Source organism: Homo sapiens, chromosome 1 (genome assembly GCF_000001405.40).
Source record: "Homo sapiens chromosome 1, GRCh38.p14 Primary Assembly".
NCBI lineage: Eukaryota > Metazoa > Chordata > Mammalia > Primates > Hominidae > Homo > Homo sapiens.
Window position 1 is genome coordinate 192,406,823 of NC_000001.11, and position 20,211 is coordinate 192,427,033.

Sequence of the window (20,211 nt, forward strand, 5' to 3'; positions counted from 1 at the left end):
TAGGTTTCATCTTGAATTTCTTTAAATTTCTCTGATAGATGAAAACCAGTTTTGTTTATTTATCTATTTTGATTATGTTAGATAGACTTGAAAACTTCTTGTGAACTGGCCACACTGATCCAAATAAAAAACATTTTTTAAGAGAGGCTCTATCTACTGTGGGTGGAAAATGTTAATATATCCCAGGTCATTGTGGATGTAGATATGTTCTATTCTTTCCACAAAAATTTTAACTGTATTCTCATTTCTAATTCCAGTTTATGTCAGTTATCAACATAATGAAGATTATCTCTCTCATCTCTAGATTTCTAAAGAAAAGAGTAATATAATCAAATTTAAGTATTACTCTTTCACAACATGACTGATTCCAGCGTCAATAATATATAACACAACACCTAGGATGACTTTAAACTACTACATAACCATCTCCCAATTGTTTTTAATTCAAAATTCGACTGTTTTCTTAGATGAAAATGTTCCTTGCATTCCTTTTATGAGGAGTTTTCATCTAAGCATTCAGATTTTTTCATCTAAGCATTTCAGCTTCCTCCAACACAGCCTCTGTAATTACTGGCTCTAGGCCAGAAAATGCATCCTGCACAGAAATCCCTCTGTTTCTGCTTGTTTCAGCCCACAGGTGCAAAAGCAACTAGCTTCTGATTTGAAATTGAATTTGACAAAACACTCTTTGAGACTGATACAAGAACGGGGCTACAGATAACAACGACACCTATTGCAAAGGTCATATTCTAACCCTATTACTTATATTAAGTTTCTGCTGACTTCAATAATGTCATAAAAATGTAAGAAAGAGCAAAATTTGTCACTGACTTCCTAACAAGTTCCTAATGTCATATAGGAGATACGCTGTTTCTCACTGAACACCTGGAGTTCCAGGTTCCAAGTGATGATACTTTGTTTTTAATTTTCTATTTATATAATGTCCATTTTCTTACAGTATTTTTCTCCAAACGAGTCTCATTTTAATCCACAGTGTCACAAGAGTATAGTCTCAAAAGCATGGTTATAAAAGATAAAGCTATCATACATCTATGTTAAGTGCTGAGAAAGTCAGAAGTAAAATCAACAACAACAAAAAAATGATGAAGTAGTTTCAGAAAATGTGTGAGCAGCAATGGAAATTACAGATCTTTTAATACCAGGTCTTCATTTTAGCTAAAAGAGAACATGGGTCCTGGGAAGAAAATGACAGATTGCTTCTTCATATCATTATTTTACCAATCACATTTGATTTTATTATAATTATAAATTCCAAATAATTTACATGCTGTTGTGAAATTTAAAGTCCAAATTACTTATTTAAAAATATTAAGCCAAGCAAGATATTTATTACTTTATTAAAGATTGCCGCCATGATCACTTCTAAAAGTTCTGTGTAGAATATTTTTAACTTCCTCTTGTTTCTTCAGGCTTTTTGTTAAAATTCAAAAAACTAGGGGCAAAATGTTGGGCTTCGTTTTGTATTGACTTATTGAAGAATGAGTATCTCAGCCATATGTTCCCCCTCAAGCTTCTGTGTCAGAAAACTCCTAGAGTGTGCTGTACCCAGAAGAAGACAGAATGGCAGGGTATCCTTTGGTCTGTAATTAGTTTCATGCCTATCATTCCACCATTCAAACACAAATGAATTTGCAAACCTCAGTGGACATCTTTTGGAAAGGAAGACACTGGTTGACTTTTGATTGCTGCTTTAAAAAAATGTCCTGAGGAAATGTTGCATCTTTTATACCCGTACATTCTGGATCACATGGGAGAATAAGAGTTCCCAAATAGCTTGCAGGTATTATTTATTACATTTGCAGTGAGCAGAGCCTCTTGAAAATGCACACATCCCTGTAATATCAGTGCAACCACTGACAATATAAAATAAAATGAATACATGAATAATAAATAAAAAATCACAAATGCCTTCACCTTTTCATGTAAATTATAATGAGTCTATAAAAATCTCACAATAAATTCAGATAATTAAGTATCAGAGTTTTAAAAATAAGGATGAATGCTATAGAGGATTACTTCTAGAATAGCAAGGCTTATTTCAGATCAGCACCTGCAAGCGTTCATTGCTTACATCTAGGACTACCCTAATACAAAGAGACTTTGGGGTACTTGGTATGTTTTCTCCCTAATTCAAAACTGAAACTTCCACTTCTAATAACCATTGAAAACTTAGGACATTCCTCAGGGCATTTTTTTAAAGCAGCAGTCAAAAGTCAACCAGTGTCTTCCTTTTCAAAAGATGTCCACTGAGGTGTGCAAATTCATTTGTGTTTGAATGGTGGAATGTTTCGACTCCAGAAACAGAAGAACTAAAATGATGACTTAAAAATCTCAATGGGTCACAGAAGGTTTGCATCAGTGTGGAAGCAACAGCTAAATAGCATATGAAAGGGTAAGAAGTAATATTACTCCATTAAATTGCTTCAGATTATGCTTTTCCAAGCACTTATTGGAAATCTACATGTGCCAGGCCACACACTAGGTATTTTCACCAGTATCACATTTATTCTTTAGAGAAACTGTATGAATACTTATTCTTTATAAGAAAACTACAAGTCAGTGAGATTAAGCAACATAATCAAGGTAACACAACTGATAAGAGCAGAGGTGTTTTCTTACTCAGTTTCCCTCTATTACTTACTTGTTCTTCGGCAAAGGATGAAACGCATGCAAAGGGTGAACAGCATGTTTGAATGTCACAGTCATGAATTCAGTCTTTCAAAAAATGTAATTTTTACTTCTAAAACTGAATGCAATTTGGTTTACAACATTCGTTTTTAACTAAAAGAATTTATCTTACCAACTCAAGGTAATATAGCCTCTTCCAAGATAAACATGAGTCAAACCAAGTTTCCTCTCTCTCTCTCTCCTTCTTCTCCTATCCCTGAAATAATATAAATTCTAAGTGGCCTCACATGTTTTCCTGGCACTGAGTCAAGGATGTCTTGTCCATGTAATGTATGCTGCCATCATTGGCCATCATCAAGGCCAGCTGATCTTTCCTCGTCTAGGTATCATCCTTTACCTCTATTGCATCTGCTACTGATGTCTCTGATCTGCCATGACATCCAGCTGACAGGTCCACATTCAATATACCTCTTCTTCCTATGGTGAGACCTCTTCTAGATCACTGGTCTTCACATCTGCTTTCCCATTTTCATTGTAAATACACTAACTTTTAAAATCCCTTCATCAACATGCTTGGGTGTGCAAAGCTATGATACTACCCTCAAGCAGGTCCACTAAGTCCTTCATGCAACCATTGATAATTCATGATTCTGATATTCCAAGAGACTCTTGTTACCTTGCTGGCTGTGCCGTGGGAAAATTATTCCATGGTATATTCAGCACTGAGATACCTACAAACTTATGTGATATCTGCAGTCATACATTTTCCCTGGACAAAGCTGAAAGATATGGCAAACACTGGATTTATTTCCAAAGACCCAATAGCCGTTAACTGAATGCACCTTTCCTCCAGTCTCTTTTCTGCCCTGTAGCTGAATGTATCTTCATGAATTTCTCCCAGAAAGAAAATAATTAAGTACAAGTTCTGTGATACATAAACTTCCTTGAGGCCGGACAAGGCAGATGGGGAGACTCCCTATTATCTATCTAGAGAGTTCTTATGTATGAAAAGATTTTGGCAGAATATACATAGTTTGTCTAAGATTGTTTGTACTAAGTGAACGAGGAACCTATGAATTTATAGCATATGGCTCTCTAGAAGATGTCACATAAGCTATACAACCATCTGAAATAATTTGCTATGACAGTGTGTCATAGAAAAATGGTTCTCTCCTGTGCCATTTATGCAGCCACAAATATCACACAGAGGCCTCACATAGTAAGCCAACCCAGAGCACATTCTGACTGACAAGAAACAAACTGGGTAACTGTATTGAAGGTCCTAGATCTCTCCATGTTTTACCTACACCTCATGATTACATCTTCTCAGCATGATAGCAACACTTGTTATTGGGTAAGACTTCTTACTAGTTTGAGTCTGCTTTGACAATCCAGTGCTTTGTGTTATTGAGATTCATTACCAATTCCCTATGATTGGTATAAACCCTATGCTCTGAGTCACTCACATTAGGGCTGTTGATGTTTGTAAATAAGATTACAAAATTCAATAAACACTTTTCTCCTGCAAACACCCTTTATTCTTACAATTAAAAGTAGGAGTGCTTTTGAATATTGTATGCTTGAGGCAGTGGACATAAAACACCCTTACTGATGTTTGAATGGTGAGGGGAAGAGTAAGGATAACAAGAACATTAAAATACATAATCCAATATACAAAATATGAACCAGTACTTTTATTTCAGGTGTTTATTATGGCACTATCACCACATTATCTTTAAAATATATTAGAGTCTCACTTTTATTACTCTTTTCTCCCTGAGACTTAAACTAAGTGAATATTTAGCTATTTTAGACAGATTTCAAATAATTATAAATGTGTTGTTTATAAATAATACGATGAAGAAATTGACAAATTCCTGTTACCATATATTTTCCAGTATTGTTTAAAAAACAAATATGAATTATTACATCTCTGCACCATCTTGTCAAGAATATGTACAGAAAAATTAAGTGAAATATTCAATTACAATAACAATCAATTGTGAGAATCTGGTTTGTTGAACTCTTATAAAGGAGTTTCTATGTAAGTGTTTCTGACATGATTCAAATACAGGAAAACTCACAGGTACAAATATATTTCTAAATATGGCATAAACGATCATTTTATAAATAAAAAAATCACATTCATTGATCAAAACCCAATAAATCTAAAATTCTAAAGTTCTCATAAATTTCAGTATGGAAACTCCCTATATAATCTACACCAATTTGCTATTTACATTATGATATGATTTCTATTTTCTTCGACCTTAACTGAAACAAACTATAAGTAAATGAAAAAACACTATCATAGAATAAAGAAAGAAACATTCTGAGTTTTCCAAATAAATCTATTATGAAATAAATTGCATGCCATAAATGTAAGAATAAAATATTTTTGCTAAGTATTGACTTGGCAATGCGGGCTCTTTTTGGGTTCCATATGAACTTTAAAGTAGTTTTTTCCAATTCTGTGAAGAAAGTCATTGGTAGCTTGATGGGGATAGCAATGAATCTATAAATTACCTTGGGCATTATGGCAATTTTCACGATACTGATTCTTCCTATCCATGAGCATGGAATGTTCTTCCATTTGTTTGTATCCTCTTTTATTTCATTGAGCAGTGGTTTGTAGTTCTCCTTGAAGAGGTCCTTCGCATCCCTTGTAAGTTGGATTCCTAGGTATTTTATTCTCTTTGAAGCAATTGTGAATGGGAGTTCACTCACGATTTGGCTCTCTGTTTGTCTGTTATTGGTGTATAAGAATGCTTGTGATTTTTGCACAATGATTTTGTATCCTGAGACTTTGCTGAAATTGCTTATCAGCTTAAAGAGATTTTGGGCTGAGACGATGGGGTTTTCTAGATATACAATCATGTCATCTGCAAACAGGGACAATGTGACTTCCTCTTTTCCTAATTGAATACCCTTTATTTCTTTCTCCTGCCTGATTGCCCTGGCCAGAACTTCCAACACTATGTTGAATAGGAGTGGTGAGAGAGGGCATCCTTGTCTTGTGCCAGTTTTCAAAGGGAATGCTTCCAGTTTTTGCCCATTCAGTATGATATTGGCTGTGGGTTTGTCATTAAATAGCTCTAATTATTTTGAGATACGTCCCATCAATACCTAATTTATTGAGAGTTTTTAGCATGAAGAGCTGTTGAATTTTGTCAAAGGCCTTTTCTGCATCTATTGAGATAATCATATGGTTTTTGTCTTTGGTTCTGTTTATATGCTGGATTACGTTTATTGATTTGGGTACGTTGAACCAGCCTTGCATCCCAGGGATGAAGCCCACTTGATCATGGTGGATATGCTTTTTGATGTGATGAGCCAAAAGAGCAAAGCTGGAGGCATCACGTTACCTGACTTCAAACTATACTACAAGGCTACAGTAACCAAAACAGCATGGTACTGGTACCAAAACAGAGATACAGACCAATGGAACAGAACAGAGCCCTCAGAAATAATACCACACATCTACAACTATCTGATCTTTGGCAAACCTGACAAAAACAAGAAATGGGGAAAGGATTCCCTGTTTAACAAATGGTACTGCAAAAACTGGCTAGCCATATGTAGAAAGCTGAAACTGGTTCCTTTCCTTACACCTTATACAAAAATTAATTCAAGATGGATTAAAGACTTAAATGATAAACCTAAAACCATAAAAACCCTACAAGAAAACCTAGGCAATACCATTCAGGACATAGGCATGGGCAAGGACTTCATGTCTAAAACACCAAAAGCAATGGCAATAAAAGCCAAAATTGACAAATGGGATCTAAGCAAAAAGAGCTTCTGCACAGCAAAAGAAACTACCATCAGAGTGAACAGGCAACCTACAGAACGGGAGAAAATTTTTGCAATCTACTCATCTGACAAAGGGCTAATATCCAGAATCTGCAAAGAACTCAAACAAATTTACAAGAAAAAAAAAAACCCATTAACAAGTGGGTGAAGGATATGAACAGACACTTCTCAAAAGAAGACATTTATGCAGCCAACAGACACGTGAAAAAATGCTCATCATCACTGGCCATCAGAGAAATGCAAATCAAAACCACAATGAGATACCATCTCACACCAGTTAGAATGGCGATCATTTAAAGGTCAGGAAAAAACAGGTGCTGGAGAGGATGTGGAGAAATAGGAACACTTTTACACTGTTGGTGGGACTGTAAACTAGTTCAACCATTGTGGAAGACAGTGTGGCGATTCCTCAGGGATCTAGAACTAGAAATACCATTTGACCCAGCCATCCCATTACTGGGTATATATCCAAAGGAATATAAATCATGCTGCTATAAAGACACATGTACACATATGTTTACTGCAGCACTACTCATAATAGCAAAGACTTGGAACCAACCCAAATGTCCAACAATGATAGACTGGATTAAGAAAATGTGGCACATATACACCATGGACTACTATGCAGCCATAAAAAAGGATGAGTTCATGTCCTTTGTAGGGACATGGATGAAGCTGGAAACCATCATTCTGAGCAAAGTATCGCAAGGACAGAAAACCAAACACCGCATGTTCTCACTCATAGGTGGGAACTGAACAATGAGAACACTTGGACACAGGGTGGGGAACATCACATACTGGGGCTTGTTGTGGGGTGGTGGGAGGGGGGAGGGATAGCATTAGGAGATATACCTAATGTAAATGACGAGTTAATGGGTGCAGCACACCAACATGGCACATGTATACATATGTAACAAACCTGCACATTGTGCACATGTACCCTAGAACTTAAAGTATAATAAAAATATATATATTATATATATATTTTTGCTATTAAAATTAAGTATTTCTCAACTGATAACTATTTAGTAATTCATTTTTTATGTTTATTTTGGTATTTTTCCTTATCAACAATGTCAGAAAGCTAAAAAAATTCTATAAATGTGTAAAGAAGAAAAAGTACAAAGTTCTTAAAGATGAAATTTAGAACCTCCACTAGGCAATGTCCATCAATGATAGACTGGATTAAGAAAATGTGGCACATATACACCAAGGAATACTATGCAGCCATAAAAAGGATGAGTTCATATCCTTTGCAGGGACATGGATGACACTGGAAACCATCATTCTCAGCAAACTAACACAAGAACAGAAAACCAGACACCACATATTCTCACTCACAAGTGGGAGTTGAACAATGAGGACACATGGACACAGGGAGGGGAACATCACACACTGGGGCCTGTCAGGGGGTGGGGGGCTAGGGGAGGGATAGCATTAGGAGAAATACCTAATGTAGATGACCGGTTGGTGGGTGCAGCAAACCACCATGGCACGTGTATACCTATGTAACACACCTGCACATCCTGCACATATAATCCAGAACTTAAAGTATAATTTAAAAAATACAATAAGCATTAATTAAAAATAGTTATAATAATATTTTCTATAATCATAATTTTTCAATTAAAAAATTTGAATTTCTATGATATCCTATAAATATGCCTTGCTTAAGAGAGACTGGTTTTTTTTTTATCACTGGAAGAAAGTGTCAGAATTTAACTTTTTGAAATCCAGAGCTTTCTATAGGACCTTGAAGAGTGTAATTGTGACAGCAATTTTTAAGGCACTCTATTTTAGTAAAAGGAAGTGACAGTGTGGCCCTTGGCAAACCTACACATTTAAATAAAATGTAAAATGATGCGATTTATATATAAAACATTTCATGCCAATGATATGCTATTATATGATAATGTCAAGTAAACTTTTGAAGCTTGATAACACATGTCTACATGGTTCAAAACTAAACGCAGAAAAGCCAAACAGCTGTTTAAATTCACATTGTTTTATGTCATGTTATTATAGAACACAAAGGGTTTCAAACAACATTTAGATAAGACGCTTCACTAGGTAAGACCTGTTTTACTTTTAAAGCAGAATTTCCCAGGTAAAACCAACATTCACAAGTGAAACAATAAACTAAATGTGTTTGTTACTAGAATTATATTTTGTGGAAGTATATCACATGGTGCAGTCTATAATTTAGAATAATTTTAATATATTATAAAACATCATAATAGATTATGCACTCTTTTATACATAATCCTATTTACTCAGAGTATTTTATATAGTATGGATGACTATAAATAATTCAGAAACGTCTCTACTCTTCCATGCACTTAGATACATAGTCCAAATGTACCATCCTTGTCTGTAGCACAGCAAAATTTAACTTATATCTGTCAGTATAAGAAGAACAAGAGGAAGAAGAAGAGGAAAGAGAAGCAAAACAGCACTGCTAGAAATTAAGAATAAAAGTGACTTTTGGATAAAATAATATCAATATCAAAAGAACAATTTAGCTTTCAGTCTGTGGTCAGCCTTGGATAGAAAGTCGTCTTCTGTGTATTCCTCAGCAAATAAGGCTCATACCCTAACTTTTCTTTGTCAACTCAGTGTAGAAAGTCAATGAGAACACATGGACACAGGAAGGGGAACATCACACACCGGGGACTGTTGTGGGGTGGGAGGAGGTGGGAGGGATAGCATTAGGAGATATACCTAATGCTAAATGACGAGTTAATGGGTGCAGCACACCAACATGGCACATGTATACATATGTAACAAACATGCACGTTGTGCACATGTACCCTAAAACTTAAAGTATAATAATAATAAAATAAAAAAATAAAAATAAAAATAAAATGGGGCAAACAGTTTTTAATTAACCACATGTGTAAAATGCCTAAAAGTTTATAACTTTAATAAACAAGGAGAATATTATTTTATAAATCCTGTTTTATTGATTTAAATTATATTTCTAAATTAAAATTCAGTTCTGTAAGTTTATGAGTTTAGAGCAGTGTTGTTCAATCTAGAACCCTGGACTCCAGGGTTCACTCCAAAATGAGTTCAAATGTAACTACAGTGATGCTAATGATTGCATTGATAAATAATGAGAAGTAACATTTATTGTGTGCCTACTTTGTTCCGGAAACTCTGCCACGCACTTACATTTATTAAATACAACAAAAGTATGAAGTCAGTGTCCTTAAAACTACAGAGGAGGATATTAAAGCATGGGGAGTTGATGAAGCCTCATCAATGTCACTCGGTAAATGGCTGAGTTTAAATTTCAACCCAAGCAACCCAGCTATTTTAGTCAATATGCATACCACTTTTCAATAGAGTTATGGAGACTGTGTGAGCTATTTTCACTTCCAAATTTCCCCTACAGATATTGCACATTTATTTATTTTGGATGAACTGAGTAAAACACTGTTTCTTTGACTTTCTTCAAAATTGAGAAACAGTTTGGAGTGACAACACTAACTGATGACAAATTCTGATAATACGTCTGTAGACATCCATGACACAAAGATCACTTATCCTTCATGTAACAACCAGTTGGTAGGGAAGTTAAAACAAGAAAATCTAGTTATCTTGATTTCTTTCCAACATGTTCCTGAACTTCCATCTACTTTCCTTAATATAATAGCATATCAGAATTTCCTTCACATGATGTTTTATATTTTTCACTGCACTTTCTAACCTGAACACATTTGAAATATCTAGAGCTAATGCTTTATAGACTTGCAAACTTTTAAAGTGGTTTATATGCTCAAAAAATATGAAACAACGTAAAACCCACTTTTTACCCAGTCAGCCCATCCTTTGGTAACATATTCTGTTTCTTCCATCTAATTTTAAGGTGCCCAGTTGCAATGGTGTATAACAACCTGATAAGGTTTCATTGCAAAATTCAGTCACAAGGTAGGTCAATCTGAAAAAACTAATGTTCACATAAATCCGATCTGGATCAAAATTTTTATTGTAGACATGAAAGTAAGCTAGGGTTGGGGTAGAAATGAAAGAGCTATAGAAATGTAGCACACTCATAATCTTTCATTTCTGCCCTGGAGAGGCTTGAAACGTTGAAGCCAGGAAATAGAATATGATCAAACATCTCTGCTTGTATGTGACTAAATTGATAAAAGCTATGAAAACCTAAATATAAATTATAAAGCACATTTATGAAGTCCTATCAAACTCAATTGTTATTTTCAAGTGCTTTAAGCAGAAATTCTGAACACTGAATAATGGCCCAATAAATGCTTAATGAAGGAATGAATATATGGTTCTACCAAACCATGCTTTATCTTTTGTGATACTTTCTCTCACATCTCTGAAATCCACATGAAGCCAAGACTTGCAATATACTCTGAGTGATTTGTGTGACAAGGAAAGGTGTTGTATTGCTCAAAGAAGAAATCCTACATATTTTGAATATTGCTAAGTTCTTTAAAAGCATAAACAAAAAATGCAGTATATGTCATAAAATTATTTGTTTTCAGTAGGAAATCATCACATCCCACAAATTATTCATTAATTATAATTGTAAAAAAATTCAAAATGGTTACACATTTGACATGTTAAGCAATATAGTTACTTTAAATTGTCATTTGATAGGTTAAAAAAATGGAGACAATTCCAAACCAAATGGCCAGTGTGTATAGCCATTTTAAGCTTAAATGATTAAGAAAGATTACGCAGCACAGAAAAACACCAGTTGGTTCAGGCTTTCAGACGTTGGAAATTCTATCACATATAGATAAGAACTGAAGAAAGAAAGAATATCATCTCCTAATTTCATGCACTGAAAACCTCATCTTCATGGCTGTTACTGTTTTGGGAAGACTGGGAATGCTGGAAATACATTCACAGAAGCAGTTTTAAATTGTAGGTATTGAATTGCATATTTGTTCAAATATTATGCATCCACTGATCAGCACTCCCCCAAATTACCTAGACTGTGAAGGGAAACACTTTTCACATGTGCTTATAATGGCAACGTATCATAACATCTTTAATTCTGGTTTTGATATAAATAAACAGAGCAATTGGCAAATGTGCATAAGTTTTCTCTAAATATCCTTTTTGCTATTATTTGACATAAAAAGTTAAAATTATCTCTCAATAACTATCTCCTTTAATGAGCAATTTACTATAAAAGTTAAAGATTCAACATTTGTTGTCCTTAAAGACAAATACAGCATGAATATCAGCTCAATGAAGGAAATGGAGACACAGCGCTTCCACAGCTGCTAAAGAAGGGATGGCTGGCACAACTCCTGTTTCTGCCCTTCAGCAGAGCTATAGTTCCAACCACAGCAACAAAATAAGTAGTAGAAGAATTATTCTCTATTTGGGGAAGAAAAAGTTTAAATTTAACTTAATCATGAATTGCAACATTTTCAGAGATGGATATACAGAAAAATAAGCTTGAGCAGTGCTACTCAGTGTCCTCCAGGGACCAGTGCTGGCCAAAAAAATCTTTTCGCAGTACATGGAGACACAAGGAGCTTGAGGCAGAATATAAATCAACCTACATAGTCATGAAGAAGTATTTAGTTCAACTGTCATATTTTTCACATTTTCACATATATTGCAAGACTTCCTCAATGAAAGAAACACTATACAGATTTACATTCTGGAAAAAGCTCCTTATCACATTCTAGACTGGTAATAGACATTCCATGAACCAGGTGCTATAAATAACACTGAGCTAAAGCAGGTATCAGGAAACTAAGACCTGTGGACCAAATCTGACCAACCACCTGTGTTTGTAAATAAAGTTTTATTGGAACACAGTCATGCCCATTTGTTTACTTATTGTCTACAGCTACTTCCCACCACAGAAGCAGAGTTAAGTGCTAGCAGCAGAAACCACCTGGTCCACAAAGCCTAAAATATTTAATATCTGGCCTTTTACAGAAAATATTTGCTGATCCCCAAGCTCAAGGACAAGTATTTTCTTGCAAGCTTTTGAAAAGGAAAGTTGAAAATCAGAACTAATCATCAAAACAGACACATGAATAATAAAATACCTTCAAATATGAATGTTAAGATATATAATATTTATTGTGTGACCTTCTGGGAGAAATGGCTTCGTCTTTGTGGATCCCAAAGATATAAGCCATTATCCAATTTGAGAAGAAACATTTATTCTAACCAGACTCACTAACTTGGATAACAAGAGGAATTAAATATTTCTAGAGAAATCATATTGGTTGTTCAGGTTTGAAGCTGAGCAGTATTCAATGTGAAATGTAACAGACGTAGAGAATTTTTTTATTCCCTTTTCTCAGGGTATGAATGAGTTCTGCATCTGGGAGGTATTTCTGTTCCTTCTTAGAAAGGCAGAGCATCTTCCAAAACTAGCCATGAGGGACCTTCAAAAAAATGTTATAACAAAGTTATATCCTGGATATATAAAATTGTATTTCAGAAAAGGTAAATTGACAAAACATAAATGAAAATGAACACATCAGAAAGACCTTTTCCCATTTAATTTGAAATATGTATTTGAATTATAAGACATTTTTATTTCTCTCAACCCATACTAGAATATGTTATTATTTTCTCTCTATTCTACACCTTAAGGAGGCTGTCATGAGAAAATTTTATTTAATTTGAAGAAGCAATGACTTATGTACATAAGTATCTATGTGTATATACATATGTAGGTAGGGAGATATGAAGGAAAAGAAAAATCTTCACATCTTGATTAGTCAAGTGGAGAGGAAATTTTAATATTATTTATGGGCCAGGTGCAGTGGCTCACACCTGTAATCCCAGCACTTTGGGAGGCCAAGGCGGGAGGATCACGAGGTCAGGAGTTCAAGACCAGCCTGGTCAGCATGGTGAAACCCCATCTCTACTAAAAATACAAAAAACTAGCCAGGCATGGTGGTGCACGCCTGTAGTCCCAGCTACTTGGGAGGCTGAGGCAGGAGAATTACTTGAACCCAGTAGGCTGAGGTTGCAGTGAGCCAAGATCATGCCACTGCACTCCAGCCTGGGTGACAGAGCGAGACTCCACCTCAAAAAAAAAAAAAAAAAACAAGAAGAATACTTGAATATGTTAAATGAGCATCAACCCAGAAGATTTGTTAAATGTTCTAATTAATTTGATTATATTTATATATGTGGCTTTAAAAATATATAAGCTGGTAAAAAACCACTAGTTATTGTTATAAAATGAAAATACAGAGACAAGCTAATGAGGTTTTCTTTCAAATCACCAGAGAAGCATTCAGAGGCTGGTATGACTCAGTGATCGTTAATTAAAAAGAAAAATGCTCTAGTTTGTTTTCCAGCTTATGTTCTAATATTAAGGTGATAAGTCTATCACAAGGAAATATCATTTTGCACTCATACAACATGGGTCAAAGGACAATGCGTGATGCTTCACCAGGGAGCTGCAGGTAAAGCAGATATCGCCACATGCACTGCTTCACCTTTGTCCACACTCTTCCCAGATGGTTGGACAAGAACATATAATAAATATAAACAAGGCAAGTCTTGCTGAGGAAGTTTTGCAAAAAAGTCAGCCTGAAGCCTGAGGCATCTGGAAGATGGAGGCTATGTATTAACACAGAAAGGATCCATTATATATTCTGGCATGAAAAATAGTAATAATTTGCAAAATAGTGAGTTAGCATGAGTGTATTTTAAACATCTGCACACACACACATACACACCTGGAAAGACATATTCATGGAAATAAAAGTGGACCAATGGACATTTTCACTATTATTAAACTTTTTTTGATTTTTGCAAAACTACTTCTGTACTTAAAATAAAATAATTAAAATCACCAGGAGGAAGGCTTAAAATCATATGTTGCCTTTAGATAAAAAGAGGGACATGTCTGACAATTTTTAATATGCCCTGACCTTTGAAACCTGGTCTTGGTCTCCAGCAATGTATTTCATCTAATTATCAAGCAGAGCACTGGGGACTGGAAAGACAGAAAACATATTGGTCTAGATGTAAGCAGTAATTAGCTGATTACTTAATTTTACTTAGAATCAGTTTTCTTATCAGATTATTCATCCTGATAGCATGGTACTGAGGGAGAATTAATTACATTTTAGGTGTCAAGAATTCTTAAGAGAATGAAGAAAATCAATATTTAAAATATGTATGCAAGCAAATATATAAACATCATCTTCAGTTTTCATTTTCATCAGTGGTTCTGTCCCTGAGTACGCATGGGTGGTTTCACAGATTTATTTGTAAACAAGATAGTTGTTGGTTCTCATTTAAAACAGAAGGAGAAACCCAGGCAGCCAGGAATGACCTAGCCCTAGCTTGTCCCAAGAAAAACCTCTGGCACGGGAATGGAGAGAGAATTTGACCTTCAATCTGCTGGAAGTGATGCAAAGTCTCAGCATGGCTAAGAACTCTACTGAGTTCCTTAGATTGATTACTGATAATTAGGCATTATTTAGAAATGGAATACATATGACACTTGTAAACTGGTTGGTAGAAACAGTGGTTAAGCCACATGCATAAGTACCTGAGAACTTAATGAACATAGACCCTGGACATGAAGGACAGTGCTAGGTTACACTGTGCATCACAGATGCTGGCCATATGTAAAGCTGAGCTCACGACCCTGAAAGGAGCTTGCCTTAACTAGACTCATTATATTTTCTACATAAATATGACTTTTCCCATTAAATACAATGAATATGTAATTGAATCCTCTTCACTCACCAGTGAAGCATAACTGAGAAATTAAGACGTTGTGGGAAATTTTTTAAGTTAAATTAAGAGAAGTTGCCTGACTTCAAGGAGCTTACAGTACAGAAAGAACCATGGCATAAGAAGAACAATGTTTAAAATGTATAATAGAATTGAATAAGCCCCAAAGACTAGACTGGTACAAGTGCGGAATTACAGGGATTCAGAAGAAAGGAGAGGCAGCCATTGTACAGTGGACTATGCGCTGGAGTTAGAATTAGAAGGTTGGCATTACAGTCCTGTCACTAAAAATTAAAAGTGTGGCTTTAGGTAAATGATTGAAACCAGGGTTCCCCCACAAAACCAGTCCCTGCTGCCAAAAAGGTTGGAGACCACTGATTTAAATTATCCAACCTCAGTTTGCTTGTCTGCAAACTAATAGCTATTTCAAGGGGTTGTTTTGAGGATTATGGGTTATATTTGTAAAATGTTCATAAACAGATGAGAAATTTACAGATATAAAAGCATTATCAAAGACTAGAAAATCCAAGAAATCTTTCATTAGAAAAGACAGCACTTGAGCTGCTTGGCAGGGCAGGGGCAATAGCGAGTAAGAAAAGAATCGAATTCTACAGGAGGGAAGAATAAGAATGAGATACGTAGAAGACAAATCGCCAGGAATGTTTGGAGAATAAATTTTCCCATTTGCTCACTAACAAAACATGTGAGGTAGAGAGTTAAATACGAGGCTGGAAGGTTAGGAAATTAAGGTAGCAGCGATGAATGCCAAACCAAGGAGTTGGGATGTTATTAGGTAGACTATAAGAAAACACTGAAAGTTTTAGAAAGGTTATTGATTGCATGGTCAGAGATATGTTAGTGTAACACTAAAATGTCTGTGGAATAGAGGAGTGGGGAAGATGTGAAGATGGCATGATCTCTTAATAAATTATTGAAACAGTTCAGGTAAGAAAAACTGATTAAAATAAAATGCACACAACCTTTACTCTAGAAATTCCATTTCTAGGATCTACTATACACAAATATGGATATATTTACATGAAAATATATGTAAAGAGAAATCGTGTAACTGTTTTAAAACAGTGATTTTGTTTAAAAAAATAAAAACTACCTGTTGTAATGAAATGTTAAGTAAGTTATGGTGCATCCATACTATGCAGTGTTACCCCATAATTAAAAGACAGAATTAAGCTGATGTGAGGTGACATGGAATATCTGGAATATTTCTAAGACACGAAATATTTCTAAATATTTTGGTGTTAAATGGAAAGTCAATGATCAAGACATAAAGAAAAATCTCATAAAATGTTTTAAGTATATATTTTTGTATGTATACATGAATAAATAAAATTAGAAATGGGAGGTACATACCAGAATATCAGTAGAGGTAAACTCTGGGAAAGGTGTAAGTACAGAGAAGGATACGAGTAGCATTTTCCCTTTTTTTTTTTTCCGCATTTATTCATGTCAGTCAACACTGATCTACATAAAGGAAATAAAACTTTACATAATAAAGTCAAGATAACTGTCTTCATGTTGCTTCCATTCTGGTAATGAGAAACAAATAAAAAGTAATATGTAGATAAATAAAATATTTATGGATATAAGTATTATGCAGAGAATTAAAACAGAGTGATAATTTACTGATATTTTACTGAAGGAATAATTTACTGATATTTTAGTTTTCTGTTGCCACAAATATAGTGGCTCAAAACAACACAAACCTCTTATTTCACAGTTTCCACGGATTAGAAGTTCAATGACCATATTTTCTGGATCCTCCACCTAGGTCTCACAAGGCTGCAATCAAGGTGTTGGTGGAGGTGATTTTTTAAACCCTATTTGTATTGAGTTACAATAGACAAACGTAAGTTGAATATGAGAAGGCACTTCAAGATGGCTGACTAGAGGCATTCAGGACCTGCCTCCTCTACAAAGAACCACAATAGTAAATAAATACTCACACATTGAATAAAGCATCTAAGAGATCACTGGGAATTTAATGAAAAAATGACAGGAAATACCTGAGGCACAAAAGGAGAGAGAAGCAAGGCAGTCAGCTCAGCTGGGATGGGCTGGGAACCCAGAGAGTTTCTCCAGCATGGAGAAAGGCTAGGTAAGTAATCCCCAGTGGTCCACATTCCCACCATGGACTACTGCCCTCAACCGTTGTGGGTCATGAGGCTACTATAAGGAGCTTCCTGGAGACCGCACAATAACATTCCTCCAGGAAAGGAGTTCAAACTGGGTCCCATACACACCCCAAGTCCTAAGCAGCTGCAGCACAGTGCCAATTTGAGAACCCGGCCCCCACCAGACTGCATCCTGCCCCAGAGCCCAATAGCCTCTGAATCTCTATGCCCCTGAAGCCCCACTGACATCCAGTCATATATACCTGGAGGATTGTAGTGGAGCAAGGCCTATTGGACCCAGCAGAGCAATGGGGTCCCCAGCACTTTAACACACACAGAGAATAGATAGCGCGGCAAACCATGAGGCTGCCCCCAGAATGAATGGAGTCAAAATATGTGCTCCCCAGAGCTTGAAACCTGCCTGCCTGTGGCCACTGCCACTGACAGCAACCCATCTTCACCAACAGGAGGGCTGAAGTGCACTTGCACTCACCCTTAGGACAGGCTCTCCATGCCCACAGTCACTGATGCTGCTGCTGGGAGCTAAAGTGCATGCTCCCCAAAGTATGATACTGCCACTACTACCTGTCGCTACTGCCACTAACATGAATGCTGTCAACCCCCCAGCAGCAGGACCACAATACACTTGCATGTGTCCTGAGGATGGGCTCTCCCTGATCACACGCTGATGCTACTGCCACCTGAACACTCTACCAGGACATTTGAGAATCACCTCACTCTACCAAACACAGCCTGCACTTGTATGCACCAATGGGGATCCTGAAGACAGGTCTGCCACTTCTGGCACCAACATCCTCAGTGCCTGAGCACACCACCCAGGGGCCTGGGGATTAACCTGCCCTGTCCACCACTATTGGCATCTGTGCACTCCTCCCGGGTACCTAGGGATGGACCCACCTTGATGACCACTATTATCACAGCCAGTACTCACATCCATGCACCACTAGGGACTGGCCTACCCAGACTGTTGCAGCCAATGTTAACGTAAGCATGTGCCATCTAGGAGCCAAAGGGTTTTCCCTCCACTGCTATGGCTATTGATCACATCTCACATACTGCCCAGGGGCCTGAAAACCTGACCATCTACTTGGCCTACCACTGCCACTGACAGTTCCTAAGCAAGCTACCTGAAGGCCCAAGAATTGGCCAGCTTGGAATCATTAATACTGCTACATGCATATGCTGTGCAACAGCACAAAGACAGGAACACTCAGCCTGCCACTGCCACCACTGAGACCCAAAGACTGAACCACCTGGCATCCTTGTCCCAAGGAAAACCTCACCACAGCCTCCACTAACAACCATAGCAAAATCCACTGAGAAAATAACAGATACCACTAATGCTGTTTGCAGCTGAAGAAATCATACAAAGACTACAATTCTGCACACAGACAGAATCAAAGCTAAAATGCTCTACCCAACCAATATCATAGATACATCTTCAGGAAAAACCTTCCCTTATGAAAGCCAATTCAAATAATAGGAAGAAGCAGTTGTTACACCAAATGTGCAGGTATCAATAAAGGACACAAGAAACATAAAAAGGCAAAACACCTCTGAAGGAACACAATAATTCTCCAGCAACAGATTACAATGGAAAAGAAATATTTAAAATGCCACAAAAAGAATTCAAGATAATGATATTAAAGAAGTTTGGTGAGATACAAGAGGACAGAGATAAATAATGCAAAGAAATAAAAAAAAAAAAATTGAGGGTATAAATGAGAAATTCACCCAAGAGGCAGATATCATAATAAAGAACCAAACAGGCCAGGCATGGTGGATCATGCTTGTAATCCTAGCACTTTGGGAGCCCAAGGTGGGTGGATCACCTGAGGTCAGGGGTTTTAGACCATCCTGGCCAACATGGTGAAACTTTGTCTCTACTAAAAATACAAAAATTAGCTGAGCCTGGTCGTGCATGCCTGTAATCCCAGCTACTTGGGAGTCTGAGGCAGGAGAATTGCTTGAACCCAGGAGGCAGAGGTTGCAGTGGGCCAAGATTGCGCCACTCCACTCCAGCTGGGGCAACAGAGAGAGACCCTATCTCAGGAAAAAAAAGAAAAAAAAAAAAAAAGAACCGTTACAGGAATTCTCAAATTAAATAATTCAATAAATGAAATTTTTAAAAATTTATTTGACAGCTTCAACAATAGACTATATCAAGCAGAAGAAAGAATTAAAGAATAAAGAATAAAAAAGAACAAACAAAGCATAAGTGACATATGGGACATGTTAAGAAACCAAATATTTGAATTTGGGGTGTTCCAAAATGTGAAGAGAAGCCCAAAGTTAAAAAATATTTTTAAAAACTAGCTGAAAACTTCCCAACTCTAGCAAAAGTTTTAGACATCCAGATACAGGAAGCTCATCAATTTCCAAATAAATGCAACCCAAAAAGGTCTTCTTCACAGCTACCCAAAAGATAGATACAGCCCAAAACATTATTCTCCACATAAAAGTAAACTGTAAAAACTCAGAAATGAGAGATAATTCTAAAAACTGCAAGAGAAAAGCATCTGGTCACTTATGATGGAAGTCTCATTAGACCAATGGCAGATGTCTCAGGAGAAATTTTACAGGCCACAAGAGAATGGATGATATAGTCAATGTGCTGAAAGACAAAAAACTGCCAGCCAAGAACACTACACCCAGAAAAGCTATCCTTCATACATGAAGGAGAAATAAAGTCTTTCCCAGACAAGCAAAAACTGAGGGAATTCATCACCTCTCAACCAGCCCTACAAGAAATATTTAAGGAAGTACTACACCTGAAAAGGAAAGGTAAATATCCACCATCCTGATAACACACAAAAATATAAATCTCAGTGGTAGAACAAATACACAAATCAGGAAAAGACTCAAATGTCAATACTACAAAATG